Consider the following 19507-nt stretch of genomic DNA (forward strand, 5'->3'; position numbering starts at 1 on the left):
GTTGCGCTTCACCTGGGTTGTGCACCTTGACTGCATTCTGCCGAAATTATTTGCTTGTCTGTTAATTCTTCTTCTTCTTTTTAAGTATTCCATTGGTGAAAAACTGTCTAGTTTGAATTTCATAAAATAAGTAGCTGATCAGTATGTTGATTTCAGAAACATTCAGCTGTTTAGGGGATGGTTTCCATTCTGTATGAGGGATGAAAATGAGGTGGGGTATGTGTGTGTGTGTGTGGTGTAGGGGTGTGTGTGTGTGTGTGTGAGGTGTAGGGGTGTGTGTGAGGTGTAGGTGTGTGTGTGTGAGGTGTAGGGGTGTGTGTGAGGTGTAGGGGTTGTGTGTGTGAGGTGTAGGGGTGTGTGTGAGGTGTAGGGGTATGTGTGGTATAGGGGTGTGTGTGAGGTGTAGGGGTTGTGTGTGTGAGGTGTAGGGGTGTGTGTGAGGTGTAGGGGTATGTGTGTGAGGTGTAGGGGGGCGTGTGTGAAGTGTAGGGGTGTGTGTGTGTGTGAAGTGTAGGGGTGTGTGTGTGAAGTGTAGGAGGGTATGTGTGTGTGTGTGTGTGAACTGTCCCCTCCCTGTAGGATGATTTTAGATAGGAGGTAGGCGGGATGTGAGGGTCCGCTGCTGATTCTATTGCCGCAGGTGCCCCCCATGTGCTTGTCACTGTGCCCATGTGGGGAAGCTAAGAGATGACAGCCCTCTTGGGGGCGTGGTTTTGGGGGAGGGGACACGGCATCACACGAGGGCATGGCTGGGTGTGTGCAAGGAGCAGGTGGGCATGGGAGGAGCGGGCAGTTTCTACGGAACGTGGAGACCCCAGGTGTGGGAAGCGGTAGGTGCAGCCCACCCAGGTGGAGAGGAGGCACCTAGGCAAAGGTGCAGAGCCATGTGGTGCCCTGGGACCACCTGCTTCTCTTGGGTGTTTCATCATCAGAACCAAACACAAGTGAGAATAAGGAGCTCAGATTTGTATCTCGATTTTCCAAATAGTTCACAGACCCAGGGGCAACATACCCTGAATGAGAAGAAACGATGCTTCAAAGTCAGTGCTTTGGCAAGTAGAATGTAGTCTCTCTTGGGTTTTGAAAAGCATCTTTCCTGTGAAGATGTCGTTGCTGTAGTAGCCTAGATGATGGAGCATTGGCAGGATAGATGTGTAGATGATGGAATTGGATAGAGAGTCCAGAAATAGACCCCTCCCCAACACAACACACGCACACACACACACACACACACATTTTCAGTTGACCTCAGTAAAAGTGCCAAGGGAATTCAGTGGTGAACAGACTGTCTTGTCAGCAAACGGTGCTGTAACAGTTGGGCAGCCATGTGCAAAACAATGAGCCTTGGCCCGTAACTCACACGGAGTATGAAAGGCACTCCAGGTGGATCACAGGCCTGCATGTAAAAGCAAAAACTACACTGTAAGCCAAAACAGTAGCATTTCTAGGAGAAAATCTGTGCTACTTTGGTTTAGGCAGAGATTTCTTAGGATACCAGAAGCCTGTGAATCCTGAAGAAAAGTTAATACGTTAGGCGTCATCAAAATTAAGGACTTCTGCTCCTTGAGAAATAGTAAGAAAACGAAAAGCATAGACTGGGAGAAAATATAAAGATTCTTCAACTCAGTAGTAAGAAAACAAGCAACTGTATAAAATGGGCAGAAGATGCAGCAGTCACTTCACCAAGAAGCTAGAAGAATAACAGATAAATACCTGAAAAGGTGTGCAACGCCATGAGTCATCAGGGGAATGCAGATTTTTACAACCACAGTGATACACCACCATGTGCCTGGGAGAGTGGCTTCAGAAACAGAAGGCTGGCAGTCATGGAAGCAGCGAGGACCCTCTCACAAGGTTGTGGGAATGCAGAGTCCACAGTCGCTTCCTAAAACAGTTTCTTATAAAACCAAGCCTACTCTTACCATGCAGCTTCGCAGTTCTGCTGCTAGGTACTTCCCCAAGAGAAGTGAAAACGCCAGAACAAGAACCCTCAACACCAATGTTTATAGTGGCTTTATTCAGGATTGCTCAAAAAGAAAACAGCCTAAATGCCCTTCAGCTGGTGAATGGGCTGATAAACCATGGTACATTCATACAGCCCAGTCCTACCAAGCAATACAAAAGAATGAATGCCCGAGACATACATCTCCATGGAGGACTCTCAGATGCATTTTGCAGCTAAGTGAACAGTTTCAGAAAGCTTCATATGCTGTATGACTCCGTTTCAATAACAGAAAACAGATGAATGATTGCCAGATGCGGGAGGGGCTCCACTACGGAGAGGAATTCGAGAACGTTGGGAGTGGTGGGGTCATGGCAGTAGCTACGTGATGATAATGTGTCCGTCAGAATTCGTAGAACCATATATTGTACTCTGTAAATTACCCTTCAATAAATCCCTCTAAAACACTCTTAAGCAGTAGAATATATATACACACAGTTTTTCTAGTATGTGACTTTAAGATTATTTCACTTTTCTTTCTGCTTTGCAGTAAACAACTTCAGGCTCTGTCACTGCAGTAGATAGCAGAAGCTGTTAGGCCTGAGGCGTTTGGAACATCCCGTATGACCAATACCACTGTTTCTATGAGGGTACCAAGCCAGAATCACTGCATTTAGCGTTTTATTTTGAAAAAGACCTGTTCTTTGTGGTATTTTAAAATGTAAAGCATTTCATTCACGACATATTTTTGAGTGGCTCTTAATGGACAAGACATTCTTCCTGGCACTGTGGGCCCAAGACACAGTGTGCTTTCATGGGGGCCTTGTAGTGCTGTGGCTGGAACATGAGAGAGGTGCAGATAGCAGTGGTGGACATGTGTGATTGTACTCGGGGGACTCAGAGAAGGCTTTCAGGAGAAAGTGATGTTGGGCTTCAGGAGGACAGGAAGTACGTCATCCACAGAACTGGCCCTTCTGAATGCAGGGCCAGTCTTGTGAGCGGAGGGTCTGAGGGGAAGGGAATGGCGTGCATGGAGAATGGCATGTTGTTCTGTTTGAATGGAACACAAAAGATATTAACAGAGAAACAGTGGTTCCCTGCCTTTAAAAAGTTTTTATTGAGTGGCTTCTGTGTGCTTGGCACTTTGTAATATTGAGGCTAGATTGTACTGGGCTTTGGATATTGGGCTAAAGATTGGATTTTTTTTTTTTTTTTTTTGAGACAGAGTCTCTCCCTGTCACCCAGGCTAAAGTGCAGTGGTGCGATCTCGGCTCACTGCAACCTCCGCCTCCTGGGTTCAGGTTATTCTGCCTCAGCCTCCTGAGTAGCTGGGATTACAGGTGCCCGCCACCGTACCTGGCTAATTTTTGTATTTTTGGTAGAGACGGGGTTTCACCATCTTGGCCTGGCTGGTCTTGAACTCCTGATCTCGTGATCCACCCACCTCAGCCTCCCAAAGTGCTGGGGTTACAGGCGTGAGCCACCGCGCCCAGCCTAGACTATGGATTTTATTCACCAGGCAGTGGGGAGCCCTTAACGGTCTTAGAGCAGAGAGAAGTTCTAGGAAAATTAACGTGCTCCTACGTATGTAGAATTGATTAGAGTAGAAGAGGCTAAGGAGAAAAACGATTTCTTCCTTTTTTTTTTTTTTTGCGACAGCATCTTGCTGTTGCTCTGGCTGGAGTGCAGGGGTACAATCACAGCTCACTGCAGCCTCACACTCACAGGCTGAAGCAATCCTCCCACCTCAGCTTCCTGAATAGTTGGGATGCGAAAACTGTTTAAGGAGTCCAGAAAAGGATGACTTCTGTTTCTGGTAACAAGATGAGTTAAGTTATTTTTATACCACCTCTTAATGAAAAGAACTGAAGTTATTGGATAAAAATTTTTAAAGCTTCAAGGAATTGACAAGAATAATTAATTATCAGGCCCAAATCTAAGGGAGGGAAGAAACTCAGAGAAAGAAATAGGATTCACTGAAGTCATGTTTGCCTTGAAAATAAATTTCAGCTTGTGGAATGAGGGAACTTGAATTCAAGTCCAAGGCTGGGCCAAGGTGGAGAATCTAAAAAGGAAACTATTGATACACCGAGGTAGGGCCCCAGGTGGCTAAACCTTTAGAGCAGGAGTGAACCAGAAGCAGAATCCATCTGCCCTTGGCCTTCAGGGGTCAAAAGAAGAGTAGCCCTTGGATTGAGTAGTGGAGCATGGTGGGGACGGCCCCCGAGAGGTTGAAACCACAGGGTAGTTTGCAGCTCAAGTCGATATTACCTTAAAAGTGTCTCCCGCACTCCCTCACATCAAGTGAAGTCTACCTGCTTCAGTGGGCATGTTCCTGGGCAGCTGACCTGGAGCAAATGCAGATTCTCTCTGGAGGATTGTGCTTTCTTGACTTCTGAGAATCTCCACAAATAGTTTTCTAGTATAATACAGTACAATACAATAGAATACAAAATAACTAAACAGAGAAGAGAAGGCATTATGAGTGAGAATCAGCGGAATGACAGACACTGGATAGGCCTGTAAAGATGTGCGATATTGGGATTATCAGGTTTAGATTTTAAAGGTTAGGCTTTCAGGCTGGGCGTGGTGTCTCAACGCCTGTAATCCCAGCATCTTGGGAGGCCAAGGCGGGCGGATCACGAGGTCAGGAGATAAGAGACCATTCTGGCTAACACGGTGAAACCCCGTGTCTACAGAAAATACAAAAAAAAAAAAATCAGCCAGGTGTGGTGGCACGCGTGTGTAGTCCCAGCTACTCGGGAGGCTGAGGCAGGAGAATTGCTTGAACCCGGGAGGCGGAGGTTGCAGTGAGCCAAGATCACACCATTGCTCTCCAGCCTGGGTGACAGAGCGAGACTCCGTTAAAAAAAAAAAAAAGTTATGCTTTCTATTTTAAGGAAATAGAAGATTGAGAGTATCTGAATATCTGTAAGCAGGAAACTATGTTTAGAAAGTATATAGAGAACTTTTAGAAAAGTCTGATTACCAAAACTGGGGGAAACAACCCAAACTTAAGAATGGGCTTAATATCACACAATTGAGGAGAAAATGAGGGAAGTGGAGGCAAAAATCAGAAGACATCCTACACACAACATGGGATGACAAGATGACACATGGAGGACATGGTGACAGGGCCTGATAGGTAGTCACTGACTATCAGACAGAAAATTGAGCAGAGTCAATATTTGAAGACAGAATAGTTTTTGAGAACTTACTAATGACACTGATGCGTATATGTAGAAAGTCTAATCCCAGTCAAGGATGAGAAAAAGGAACCACGTCTGCATAATGCTAGTGACCAAGAGGTCTTTCAAGCAGCCATAGGAAAAGACAGATTGCCTTCAGAGGTGGAGCGGCTCACTTGTCAGCAGCAGCAGTGAGGCCGGGAGCCAGCGGGGGTCGTTGTCGTGCCAGGGAAAGAAAGTTGCTGCCAGCCTAGGGCTCTGCATCTCTTGGAGATATCTTAAAGAACAAGGGAGGCCGGGTGTGGTGGCCCACACCTATAATCCCAGCACTTTGGGAGGCCGAGGCGGGCAGATCTGAGGTTGGGAGTTCCAGACCAGCCTGACCAACATGGAGAAACCCCATCTCTACCAAAATTACAAAATTAGCTGGGCGTGGTGGCACATGCCTGTAATGCCAGCTATTCAGGAGGCTGAGGCAGGAGAATTGCTTGAACCTGGGAGGCAGAGGTTGCGGTGAGCCAAGATTGCGCCATTGCAGTGCAGCCTGGGCAACGAGAGCAAGACTCCGTCTCAAAAAAAAAAAAAAACAAAAAACAAAACAAAACAAAAAAAAACAAGGGCAAAATAAAGACATTTTCAACTTTGGACCTTCACTGAATGATATGCTTTAAGCAGAAGAAAGGTGTTCCCAGCTGGAAGTGGTAACAAGGTAGACTCATGGATGAACGCAGGAGCTCACTGGGGTTAGAAAGAGGAAATAAATACACAGGACAATAACATGCAAGCTGGGGAAGGGGCAGAGGGGCTGAAATGTGCACAGATCTCGTTACTGTTTAGGAAAAGCATGGAGTATTTAGACTTTGGCAAGCATCCGTGGTAATTCCAGACCAGCCACCAGAAGAATGAGAGCAGAGCGAGTTGCTCCCAACTGTGGCAGGGACATTGGTGAGGAAAGAGTCATCTGAGAGGAGGCAAGGAAGGAGATGAAAAGAAACATACAGCAGCTGGGTGGAATGGAAAACATGGAGTAACACGCTAGATTTCCATCCAAATGCGTAAGCAATGAGACATAAAAGGATCAAGAGAAACTAAAAATACACTGCACTTCGGAACCAAGGGAGCTGGCAGAGGTCAGCTGGAGGGACACTGCAGAGGTGGCATGATTGCGTTTGCCTTCCAGTTTATGGTGGGACAAGGAAGGACGGTGAGGCAAGGTGGGATAGGGTGAGGGGACCACTCTGGCTGCCACTTCTGCCTGCGGGCCAGAGTGGACTGCAGGGCACAGTGAGGATGCTCTGAATTTTAGGCAAGATGAAGGTAAGATGCCACAAGACCCCACGCACATGGTGAGACACTCAGGGCTGTAGTTTCAGCACAGATGGGGACAGTGGTAGAGAGCCAGGACTGTGGGCTGTGTGTTTGTGGGTAGCATGGGTGCCTCAAGGACAGTCGTTACGTTCCTGGGGACCAAGAGGTCTTTGTGCGGAGAGGGAGGGACAGGACGGCCTTTCCAGCATGTGCACGGGCGTGCCGCCATCTGAAGCGTGTTTCTGTGGGTGATGTGATCTGCTGGGAGAAACCATTGCTCAGGGCACTTGCTTGTGAATTTACACATGAAATCAGCAGTTTTCAAAAGACTGAACTCTAGCGTGTGTTTCACTTGTTTCGCCTCTGAAGTTGGGTGCTCTTGTCTTCCCTGCTCTGAGTGTGAACAGCCCTGAGTGCTGTGTGAAATATTTGATGAGGTCCTCTGTTTGCCTTTTCTAGACGCCGGGAGGCTCTGCTCCCGCCCAGGTGGTGCACACCCAGCCCCCGCCACGGGCAGTCGGCTCCCCAGCCACGGCGACCCCTGACCTGGTGTCCATGGCAACGACTCAGGGTGTTCGAGCGGTCACTTCTGTGACAGCCTCGGCCGTGGTCACTACCAACCTGACCCCAGTGCAGACCCCGGCACGGTCTTTGGTGCCCCAAGTGTCCCAAGGTAAAGCCAGGCTGGGAGCTTTCTCTGCCACACGTCTGCTCTGGCGCGTGTGAGGGCTCAGCTGCTGCTTGCTGTCTGAGAATGAGGATCTGAAGGTGGGCGAGTATCCCTGTCCAGACCTAATGAGCAAACCTCTTCATAGCCACAGGAGTTCAGCTCCCTGGAAAAACCATCACACCTGCACATTTCCAGCTTCTCAGGCAGCAGCAGCAGCAGCAGCAACAACAGCAGCAGCAGCAGCAGCAGCAGCAGCAGCAGCAGCAGCAGCAACAGCAGCAGCAGCAACAGACGACGACGACCTCTCAGGTGCAAGTTCCACAGATCCAGGGCCAGGCCCAGTCCCCAGCACAGATCAAAGCTGTGGGCAAGCTGACGCCGGTGAGCATTTCCCAGAGGACCATGAACGTGTGCGTCTTGCGGTCAGTCAGCCCAGCGTCTGTGAGACGGTGCCTGCTTGCATGGTGCAGTCCAGAGTGTATTTTGCAAACGTCTAGCACTGCCTTTATGTAGGACGCGTGCTTCGTTTTATTGGTCTAAAATTTCCCATGTCATAACACTTTGATCATGCCTTAGAGAAGTCTTACAGCTTATTCAGAGCACTTTGGAGACATTAACACCCAGCGTGCAAATGCGTCTTCTTGCTTAGGCGTCTTGTGCCTTGTGTTCAGCATCAGTCTCTAGGCCCGCTTGGTGTGGTTCTGGACCAGAGAAAGTGCTGGTGAGAAGATATTCCTCAGCAGTGTTGGGAGAGCAGGCGATGGACCCTGGGTTTGTTTCGATGTGGTTCACGTGCGGTACTGTTTCTCAAAGGTGGTCATTGGAGTACTGATGTACCTGATTTTTGCTAACCTCTGTACCAGCTTTGCTGTTCTTTATGTAAATATATTCATTTTCAAAGGAAATGTTGGGCCGGACACAGTGGCTCACGCCTATAATCCCAGCACTTTGGGAGGCCAAGGCGGGCAGAGCATTTAAGGTCAGGAGTTCGAGACCAGCCTGGTCAACATGGCAAATCCCCGTCTCTACTAGAAATACAAAAATTAGCCGGACGTGGTGGCGGGTGCCTGTAATCCCAGCTGAGGCCCAAGAATCGCTTGAACCTGGAAGGCAGAGGTTGCAGTGAGCCGAGATTGTGCCACTGCACTCCAGCCTGGGCAACAGAACAAGACTGTGTCTCAAAGGAAAAAAAAAGGAAATGTTATGTCCTACCATAAATGAAAAATCATTAATACTTGTCATAGAAAGTAACCAGAGACACATACGGAATAAAGACAAGACAATATTTTGAAGTTTCAGCTCACTGTTGGGCCTGCCGGAGTGCTTGAGTCTGGGCCTCTCCGTGGTCTGGAAGGGAGGAAGTGGGCTGCAGGAGACGCACACTCAGCTGAGGGCCCCTCCTGGGGCTGTCGGGAGGGCTGTCGGTGGAATTTAGACATTGAGCTTATCCTGTTCCTGTCACACCAGCCATCCCTCGAGGGCTGCATGGCCATATGTGGCTGTGGCTACCACCCTGGGCAGCCCCCGCCTAGCCCACTTGTATCCTGCGGGACGTGCCACTGGACAGTGCTGAATTAGAATGCTGTGCTCAAGAGTCCCAGGCCCAGCAGAGGCAACTGTCAGGGAGTCAGAGCCGGGCTTTGACCCCCCCGGCCCACAGCCACACAGGTACCTTGTCACCTGCCCCGGTTCAACCACTGATGACCCCCCCCCGGCCCACAGCCACACAGGTGCCTTGTCACCTGCCCCGGTTCAACCACTGATGACCCCCCGGCCTACAGCCACACAGGTGCCTTGTCACCTGCCCCGGTTCAACCACTGAGACACCAGTGCCGTCAACATCAAGGCTGCCACCCAGCCTTGGCTGCCAGGAGCTCTGTGTGCCAGCTGTTTGCCTGTCTCCTTCGTTCCTCACTCTGCCCTCTCCCAAATCCATTTCAAAACCAGTTCACTTCCAGCATTTCAAAAGAGACTTGATAGTCATGATCAACTCAGTATAGGTTTTCTTAAAAAATTTTTTCTTAAAATGTTTTTTGAACTTCAAATAAGTTTGGTTGGTGCTACAGATTTAAATCGACTTGTTTGTGAGGATAATAGAATTCTTTTTGCTATGAACTTATCAGTCAGAATCCGTGTTTGTAGTTTTCACCGACGAATGCACATTTTTAATAAATGAACACCTGGAAGATACTGGGCAGCCCATGGAAGGCGGTCTGGATGCTGCACGGTAGCAGGTGTCTGCTTTGGTATTTAATGGGCAGTAGAGGGGTGGCTTAGGAACAAGATGTCTACTTAAAGAATGGAGCACAGTTAATGTTGAAGAGAAGATACTTTGCTTGTATTTTAGGAACACCTCATCAAAATGCAGAAGCAGAAACTGCAGATGCCCCCGCAGCCCCCACCGCCACAGGCCCAGTCTGCGCCCCCGCAGCCAACAGCCCAAGTGCAAGTGCAGACCTCGCAGCCGCCGCAGCAGCAGAGCCCCCAGCTCACGACGGTCACGGCCCCAAGGCCTGGTGCCCTGCTGACGGGCACCACCGTGGCCAACCTCCAGGTGGCCCGGCTCGTAAGTGTCAGTTTCTGTTTGTTTTCCAAAAGCAGCATCTTTTTATGTTTTAACACAGCTGTTGCGCTTGCTCAGGTGCGTGTCACGTGTTACAGGAGTGAGTGTGAGACGGGTTCTTTTCCCCGAGAACTTAGTACCCCTTGGACAGAGGACGGGACTCACCACTCGTGGAACATTAACACAGCAGCAGCTCCCAGAGCCCATCCAGGCATCACCAAGCTTCTCAGGGCTTGAATTGAGGGGGGTGGAGAGTGAGCGAGGTGAGATGCAGCCTGCGTGGCTTCCCTGTGCTGCTGAGGGACCCTGCAGGGACCAAGGCCTGTGTGGCTGGAGCAGAGGGCGCTGTGCATGTAAGCCGTAGGCATGGGCAGGTGGCGGTCTCTGAAGCTGCTCTCAGGTGACCGCTGTAGGCAGGGAGAGCATTTGGAGATTTCAGAAGGGACTAGCATCAGGCGCAAGTGCTGTCTGGGAAGACTGGCTCTCAGCAGGTGCCAGCGTCCCGGGGCAGGCAGCGTCACTGCACCGTGACTAGAGCTCAGCTAGGGGTACTGGTGACAGCTGCCCTGTTGGAGGCTCACCCTGAGCTAGACTTTGCCCTTCGTTCTCTTGTGTCTTTCACCTGGCCCAGTGCTCATGGACTGCCCCAGGCAGGGATAAGGGTCTTACTATTAATTCCATTTTACAGGTTAAGAAACTGAGGCATGTAGGCTAAGTTCCCACCCAAATCCCACAACCAATCAGCTGCAACTCAAGCTAGGATTTGGGGACCCAGGTGCTCAGGCTAAGCTGTGTGGGTGCTGGACCCCCACTTTGGGTCTTCCCTGGGAGGGGCTAGCCCTCCACAGCAGAGTGAGTAGAAGTGGATAAAAAACTACAGAAGGGTGCTTGGTTTCATTCATGTTCACAAAAATGCAAATTCACTGAGAAGGGTGGTAACACCTAGTGGTAGCCAGGGTACCGGGTTCTTGTTGGACAGGAATCAGTGGCCTCTTTTTGGAGAGGATTTTGGTAATTACGCTATGAAAATGTGCACGCTTATTTAACTAAACACCCCCTTATGTCCTGCAGAGATAACTGAACATTTACAAAGTGATGAATGTACAAGCTTGTTTGCTTCATGAGTGTTAGAGGAAATTAAATGTCCATTACTAAGAATTTCATTAAGTAAATGATGTATCATCCAAACAATGGAATATTAAGCAATTTTGAAAGTGGTTTTTTGTAAAGAGAAGAGAAACAGATTTCAAAATATTTATAATTCATGTCATTTTTGCACACTTTCACGGTGAGCCACACAGATATGAACAGTGGCTGAAGGCTAAATACCAGTTTTAATATTCAGATATGAGTAGTTTGAGGAGTGTGGGTAATTTTTACTTTGTATTTTCTTATGTAATCTTAGTCTCTATACATACAAAAATGGAAGTACTTCCATTTACCATTTTTTAAATGGTAACTTAAGAGAAAATGCGGGACGGGAGGCTGAGGCAGTCATTTTGAAGTGAGGGACAGGCTGATGTCGAGTGCTCGCTGAAGGAACAGGAAGTGAAAAGCCTTCTGTGGGAAAAACGGGACAGGATGCGGTTACTGGTTCAGGAGATGGAGGGAAGTGAAGGTGATGTCCCGTGAGATCACTGACATCTGAACGCAGCAGCATGTGTGATGAGCCTGCAGGTCTTGCGGGAGCTTCAGAAGCGCGGGCTGACCTGTGACTTGACATTTCCCTGCGGCGTGCAGATCTCTCAGTTTTCCTTTCCTGTTGGGCCACTTTAAACTTTGTTGATCTTTGTAAATTTTCTCATGGCATGACCTCTTGTGGAGAAGTATTTGGAAAGACATACCGTGTCCTGAATTTCTCTGGACTCTCCCATTATTTCTACTGTTTAGACCCGGGTTCCCACTTCTCAGCTGCAGGCGCAAGGGCAGATGCAGACCCAGGCACCCCAGCCAGCCCAGGTGGCCTTGGCGAAGCCTCCGGTGGTGTCCGTCCCGGCAGCTGTGGTCTCCTCACCGGGAGTCACCACCCTGCCCATGAACGTCGCGGGGATCAGCGTGGCGATCGGTCAGCCACAGAAGGCAGCAGGTGCCCGCCCCAGCACACCCTCCCGTCCTGGGCTTGAGCCTGGTTTCACAGGCCTCTCTGGTGGCAGTGGTCGCCAGCGACCCGTGTTCTTTCCTCACACCCACCCACTTGAGCGTGCCATCACGTGTTCTAGCACAAACGTGCCTTGGCGCTTTCCAGGCGCAAGGCTGGGTCCTCAATTGAACTGTTAACATTCTGAAATTTCCGTCTTAATTTAAGTGTAATTTGTGAACCCAGAAACATTTTAATGTAGTTAAGGGATGGCTTACTTGTCTCCATAGAGTTTCATAGTTTGTTATTTTCTGTAGAGGTGAGTCAGTTGGAACAGAGCTTGGCGTGAGCCTCAAGCTCTTTTCCCAGTGTGCTGACTAAGGGGCTTTTGCTGCCTGCAGGACAGACCGTGGTGGCCCAGCCCGTGCACATGCAGCAGCTGCTGAAGCTGAAGCAGCAGGCCGTCCAGCAGCAGAAGGCCATCCAGCCCCAGGCTGCACAGGGCCCGGCAGCCGTCCAGCAGAAGGTACCGGGGCTAGGGGATTCTCACTTCTGGGTCTATGCCAAGCCAAAGCTGGCTGCTGGAGGAGAGGGTCCTAAGCAGACAAATCCCCATGTGGCGGCTCACGCTTTTCAGAGGGTGGCTTCAAGGGCTGGAGGTGCTAGTGTGGTCATCCCTGTTGGTTTTTCCTTCCTTTAAAAGGTGAATGCTGTGTGTGATGTGACAAGTGAGGCTGAGGTCTTGGCAGGGGGATGGAGGGGGTATAGTCTGTGAGGATGGCTGGGTGCCAGGTAAGAAGCCTGCATGGCATTGGGACAGACACAGGGGGTGCAATTGCATGATGGGGGCCAGTGGGCTCAGGGAAGCAGACGCAGCTCACACCACAGGACCCGCCTGGACTCCTGCTGGAGGACAGGGATGCCGTACAGTCTGGACCCCAGACAGGGAATGTGGCCTCTGTGCATGTTGGTGGTGAAAGGGGAGATAAACACGCCAGGGCCCGACGTGGATGGGGGCGCAGCAGGGCACTGGGCTCCAAGGGCGTCTACAGTCTCAGCCAGCTCCCTGAGACGATACCTGTGCCTCTCAGCAGCCAGTGCTGTGTTGAAGGACGTGAGGGGGACACGGTGGTGAGACAGCTCTGCCTCCAGGGACTTCTGCTCGTGGTGGCTCATCGGTGGCACCCAGCCCAAGTCCCGGGCTTCGGATGGCTGGTGTGGGCCCTCAGACCCCACGTTCTGTTGGCACTGCTGTCTGGCTAGAGCTAGAAGGCGGGCTCTGATGGGAAGCCACATGGCTGTGTGGGGAGCTGCCCTGTTCCCTGAGCGCTGTGCTGGACCCCTGCAGGCACCTGGTGCTTATCCTCAAGACGGAGGATGTTGTCTTGAGGAAACTGAGGCTCAGAGAAAAGGACTTGCCCAGATCACAGGGCCAGTAAAAGGCAGCTGGCTGACTCCAGCAGGCCCAGGGTTCTTTGTGCCACACCACCTGGACACTGGCTGTGCTGTGAGCCGCTGCTACCTCCTGCAGAAGACCAGTGCCCAGGGGCCCTATGGGTGAAGCCCTGCTGGTGTGCAGCAATGGCATGCTCTGTGGGGAGCTGGAAGCAGAGCTGTCCTTTGGAACCCAGAGGGAGAGGGAGTGAGCACTGAGGGGACACAAAGCCGGGAGGCGCAGGGTGTCTGGGTAGTGCCACCAGCTCCGCCGTGGCCGGGTTCCAAAGACCAGCCTGCATCCCCACTTGGCACGACCGCTGCAGGGAAGTGCATGTCCTTTGGGTCGGGATGGTCACCTGCATTTATTTACCTCTGGAAGAAGGAGACAGTGCTGGGACTTACCTCCTGGGCCTGGTCAGCAGTCCCTGGGTGCGTCATGGTGGTCCATGGGCAGACGTGGCCATGCTGATGCACAGGTGGGTGTGGTCCCTCAGGCTTGAGCTGTGCTTGAGGGAGCAGTGGAGGGCTGCAGCTGAAGTGCTGGGCTGTGTGTTCCTACGATTGGACAAAACATCCTTAGATGTTAAAAACCCCTATTTACCCATAAGCATGGCTGATAAAGCAGATACGTAAACGTCAGATGTACACAATATGATCTGCAAAAATGGTGCATACCAGTTTGTTACCCCGTGTACTAAATATTTTCTTTATGTCTGCCAAGTTTTTACATTGGATTTGAGAGATTGTGATCGCTTTCAGTCACCTAAGTAGCAGCCCCGTGCAGGTGTGACAAGGGTGTCAGGGTGCCCCACCAGCCCGACTATTCAGGGAGCAGTGTCCCGGGTGGGGTGGGCTGCAGGCAACGGCCAGGCCTCCTGGAGGAGAAGCTGGCGGCCATGCCGCATGGGCAGAGGTAGGCCTGGAGGCAGCGGCAGGGATGGGACAGGGGGCAGGAGATGTGGGTATGCACAGGGTTGGTCTGGGAGGTAGGCTGGAAAGGGGCTGGGTTCTGCCATAGGGCCCAGAGCGGGCAGGCGTCCCGGGAGTCTTGAGCGCGGCATGGTCTCTGCGGCCCTAATTTCGCAGTCTCTCCCCAGATCACCGCACAGCAGATCACCACCCCTGGCGCGCAGCAGAAGGTTGCCTACGCCGCGCAGCCGGCCCTTAAGACCCAGTTTCTTACCACACCCATCTCCCAGGCCCAGAAACTGGCCGGGGCCCAGCAAGTGCAGACCCAGATCCAGGTGAGCGGGGAACAGGGTGAGGGCCCGAGTGTCAGGAGTGGGTGCCCGGCCTTTGGATTGTGTGTCTCGCGGGCTTTGCGAGCTCCCAGCCCTTGCGGCTGCACTGGGTGGTGCACTGGAGGGAAGTGTTGTCTCCTGGCCTCAGGTTTCAACCCCTCTGGCTCCTGGGAAGGCTCCTCTCTGCCGGGGCCTGTTCCAGCTGTCGCCAGCTTTGCCTTCATGTTCTGGACGTCGATCTCCAGCTCTGTGGGGTACAGCTGCCCTCTCCCAGTTCCAGGCTCCTCTTCTCCCTTCCTGGTGTCTTTTTTAAAAATATATTTTATTTTATTTTTTGATATTTTTTGATATTTCTTGTTCATCAAGTTCTACCTGGTGTCTTTGGGAGAACTGAGTTCCTGATTTCATGTGTGCAGTGTGCCCTCCCGTCTTCCTCTCTGCCTAGAGCTTTTATGTCCTGCTTCCTCCCAGAGCTTATGGAGTTACCTCCCTGCATCCTTCTCTAAGAGCGGGGGAGTGGTACCTTCTTAGCTGGTCTTCCACCCTCCTGGAGTTGGTTTTTGGGTATGAGATAGAAACAGGAATTCAGTTAGAGCAGGGGAGTTTTACCTTCTCAGCTAGTCTTACATCCTCTGGGAATTGGTTTTTGGGTCTGAGATAGAAACAGGAATTCAATTTGATGTGCTCTATGAATACCCTATTTTCAGCCCCATTTATTTAAAAGCCCAATTCTGTCATCCATCGATCCACAGTGCCGCCTCCACCTGAGATCCTGTGGGGAAGTTCAGGGCTTCTTGTCTCAGAGGCCATGCTGGTCCCACGGCGCTCTCGCTATGAGCGGCAGTGACACTTGGTGTCTGGAGGGCGAGTCCCCCTACCACACCCTTCCTTGGGTGTAGCGTGCCTATTCTTGGCTCTTTCCACTTCTGTGTTAATTTTAGTTAGCTTAGTTCATACACTACAATCAAAACTGCTGAAAGTTTTTATTAGAATTGCATTGATTCTGTAGCTGTTCAGGGGAGAGTTGACATCTTTACAGTCTTTCCTTCAGATTCACCAATATGATGCATCTTTTGTTACTTAAGTCTTTTTTAATGCCTTTTAATGAAGTTTTCTAATATTTTGTGAAAGTGTTATAGATTATGTTAGTTTTATTCTTAAGCAATCAGTATTTTTTGATGCTTTTGTAAATGGTATGCTTTTAATTTCCATTTTCTGTCTCTGGCTGTTGTACATTTTTGTACATTAGTTTTTTATTCTGGCCGCCTTGCTAGATTCTGGTTATTTGAATAATTTATCTTAGGATTTGGTTTTGTTTTGTTGCATTTCCTTCGTATACAGTTGTATCACCTGTAAATCATGACGATCTACTTCTCCCATCTTAAACCCTTGCTTTCTCCTGCCTTACTGTGCTGGCTGGGACCTGCAGCACAGTGGTGAATGTCAGAGTCCGTATTTCACTGTGAAGTAGGGTGTTTGCTGTGTTTTTGTCAGAGTAAGAAAATTCTGTTCTTTTCTACTTTGCTTGAAGTTTCTGTTCCTCTTTGTTACGGTGCTTTTTGTCTTGTTTAAAGCCCATGTGTATGAACTCCCTCCCTCCCTTACACATCTCCTTTAGCCTCAAAGCTTTAAGTCCTGTCTCGGTGCGAATGATACCCAGATTCATGTCTGTAGCCACTTACTGTCCTGAGTTCCAGATTCTTCATCCTACCTGCCTTTGACAGATCCATGGAGATGTCTGATCCCTCAGGCCTCAGGTGTGTACGCCTGACCTGCTCCTACCAGAGGCTTCCGGCTCAGGAAGGGCAGCTGTCCCTGCAGACCTTTAGCCTACTTGAGAAACCCCTACAGTCATCCATACAGGTCCAGCCCATTGGCAGGCAGCTGTGTGTGCTTGACTTCCAGAAGAGACCTGGAGCAGCCGCTTCCTGTTGCTACTGTCAGCTCCTCCTCCGCACCCTTCCCTGGTTGTTGCCATCTCTCCTGCTTCCTTTTTGCCATCCGTCCCCCAGGAATACTTTGTGGTTGTGTGGGTGGGTCGGGGGTGTGGGGGTGTGGATGTCTTCTGCAGAGCCCTGCTGCCCACGGCTCCTGGCCTGTGCACCCCTCTGCACTTGCTCCTCTGCACCTGTGCCCCTACCAGCGCTGCTCACAGTCTCCCTTCCTGCTCAGCTTTTCTGCTCTCTGTTTCTGTATTATCACCTTCAACAAATACTATAAGTACTTTGTTCAGGTGATTTTGTCTCCTCCAATAAAGCAAGCCCCATGAGTACAGGTGTGTCCGAGGGCTGTTAGTACAGTGGACAGATGGACTGTTGTAGTGGGTTATAGTCATTGAATCTTGTGATGTTCAATCATTGTGTTCTGGGGTGACTCACTGGGTCCTGTGGTAGTTGTCATTGTGCATGGATGAGTTCAATTACTGCTCTTGTGTGTGTGACCTCACGGCATCGGGGCAGCTCAGCCTCGTTCGTGCGCTCTGCCTGCCTTGTCAGGTCTGTTTCTGAGACGCGCTCCTGCTTGTGTTGCCCAGGGTGGCCTCGAACTCCTGAACTCAAGCAGTTCTCCCTCCTCAGCCTCCGGAGGGCCCGGGACCGCAGGTGTGTGCCACGATGCCGGGCTTTTGCCAGGGTTTTTACTTCCTTTCCTTTCTTTTATTTTGCTATTCATTTTCTAACTTGTTAAGATGGAGTACCACCTGAGCTTATTTCACAAATTTTATTATTTGGTTTTCCTTCAGTCCTAAATGTTTTTGAATTTCCATTTTGATTTCTTATTTACTGCCTGGGTTCTTTTTAGAAGTGTTTCTTAATTTCCAGGTGAGGTTTTCCAGTTACTTTTTATTATTGACTTAAAAATAAATCTTCATTGTATTGTCAGAGAATGAGGTCTCAATGATTTCAGTCTTTGAAATTTGTTGAAACTTGCTATCTAGTCCAGAATACAGTCAGTTTTAAAAAATGGTCTGTGTCCTTCCAGAGCAGTCTTCAGGATGGGTTCACTTGTGAGATGATTTTGTTGTAACTGGGTCAAGTTTACTGTGTGTGTCATTTCGGTCTTCTGTGTGTCCTGCCAATCACTTGTGTTACTAGTTATTGAGAAGGCGTGTTTAGATGTCCCATTCTGAGTATGCCTTTATCTGTTTCTTCTTACCTTTCTCTCTGGTTTTGCTTTATATCTTAGAAGGCTTTTCATTAGCCACATTTAAGTTTAAAGTTTTGAATTTTGTTATTTTGAAATGACTCTTACTGTCTTCAGTAATATCTCTGGTCTTGAAGCCTATTCTCCTCACATGAGTAAAGCACCACCCTCCTGTTGGAAGTTTTTGGTCTGTGTTTTTCCTTCCTTGTTTTCAGCCATTCTCTGTGTGTCCCTCGTCACCTCCTGTGAGCAGCTCGCGGGCAGGTCCGGTGCTGTTGTGAGGTCAGGCTTTCCATCTCTGACTCTTACCTGAAACACGTGTCCACTTGTCTGTATATAAGGTTGGGTATATTTGAATTTCTGGCTTCTCTTTTGTTTGGACTCTGTTTGTCTTGCTTGTTCTGTTTTTTCTTTCCTCCCTTCCTTGCCTTCTTTTGGGCCACCTTCTCTTTTTTTTTTTTTTTTTATCAATTCTCCCCTCTGCCAGTGAAAAATTATATATTTTCTTTCTGTTCTTTAAGTGGTTACCCTAAAATCTCCATGTGCACACTTCTGTATCAGAGTATGAAGTTAACGATGGCCTCCACCCTCTTCTCCAGCAATGATCTTATCACACAGTAGCTCAGTTTATTCATCTCAAATGCTGCTGTTAGTGTGCGTTTTAATTCTGTCCCTTTTCCTTTTTTTTTTTTTTGACACAGTCTTGCTCCATCGCCTAGGCTGGAGTGCAGTGGCGCGATCTTGGCTCACTGCAACTTCCGCCTCCTGTGTTCAAGCGAGTCTCCTGCCTCAGCCTCCTGAGTAGCTGGGATTACAGGCACATGCCACCAGGCCCAGCTAATTTTTGTATTTTTAGTAGAGATGGGTTTCACCATGTTGGCCAGGCTAGTCTCGAACTCCTGACCTCGTGATGCACCTGCCTTGGCCTCCCAAAGTGTTGGGATTATAGGCGTGAGCCACCATGCCCAGCCATAATTCTGTCCTTTTTCATCTTTGACTTTTTATGTGGAATTACTTTCCTTCCACTTGACCCATCCTTTGGAATTTCCTTTAGTGCTTGAAAATGCCTGTGTGTCACTCTTGTTCCTGAGAGACAGTTTTGCTTAGTACAGAATTCCGGATTGGCATTGTTTTTTGGGGTTTTTTTTTTTTTTTTTTTTTTTTTTTGAGACGGAGGCTCACTCTCCCATGCTGGAGTGCAGTGGCATGATCTTGGCTCACTGCAACTTCTGTCTCCCACATTCAAGAGATTCTCCCGCCTCAGCCTCCCGAGTAGCTGGGACTACAGGCACACACCACCATGCCCAGCTAATTTTTATATTTTTAGTAGAGGTGGGGTTTCACCATGTTGGCCAGACTGGTCTCGAACACCTGACCTCAGGTGATCCACCTGCCTCGGCCTCCCAAAGTGCTGGGATTACAGGCATGAGCCACCGCGCCCGGTCGGCATTGTTTTCTGAGTGCATTCACGGTATCATTTCCTCACTGTGGCTGCTTTTGTTGTTGAAGAGGAGCCGGTGTCTGTCCAGCGTTTCTCTCTTCCAGGGTCACCTGTCTCTTCCCCACCGACTGCCTGTTATTGAGACGTTGTCTTTGTCTTTGTTGTTTTGGGTCACCTCTCTCCCCCACCGTCTGCCTGTTACTGAGACGTTGTCTTTGTCTTTGTTGTTCTGGGTCACCTCTCTCCCCCACTGTCTGCCTGTTATCGAGACGTTGTCTTTGTCTTTGTTGTTTTGCAGTTTCATTCCAATGCTCCAGCTTCTTGAATCTCGGGCAGTCTCTCTCATGTCTTTAGGAAATAAGCAGCCACTGTTTGTTTACGTGTTGCCCCTGTCCTGCTTCCTCTGCCCTCCAGGTCTCTCAGCAGCTTTTGTATTTTCTGTGTCTTTGTCTCGTCGTACTATATTCTGAGTCATGTCTTTCGCTCTGTCTCCTCAGTC

The 19507-nt window shown here is 49.6% G+C and overlaps 1 protein-coding gene across 1 annotated transcript in view; it reads left to right on the plus strand.

Annotated features, from left to right (window-relative positions):
* Nucleotides 1-19507, plus strand: part of EP400 (E1A binding protein p400) — a 130519-nt gene that overhangs the window by 105271 nt on the left and 5741 nt on the right. Inside the window, exons 46-51 of the mRNA NM_015409.5 lie at nt 6898-7111; nt 7254-7489; nt 9456-9674; nt 11562-11757; nt 12150-12274; nt 14283-14429. Of these exons, the coding sequence (NP_056224.3) occupies nt 6898-7111; nt 7254-7489; nt 9456-9674; nt 11562-11757; nt 12150-12274; nt 14283-14429 (1137 nt within the window). The remainder of the gene's footprint in view (nt 1-6897; nt 7112-7253; nt 7490-9455; nt 9675-11561; nt 11758-12149; nt 12275-14282; nt 14430-19507) is intronic.

The sequence above is a fragment of the Homo sapiens genome, chromosome 12 (assembly GCF_000001405.40).
Source record: "Homo sapiens chromosome 12, GRCh38.p14 Primary Assembly".
Classification (NCBI taxonomy): domain Eukaryota; kingdom Metazoa; phylum Chordata; class Mammalia; order Primates; family Hominidae; genus Homo; species Homo sapiens.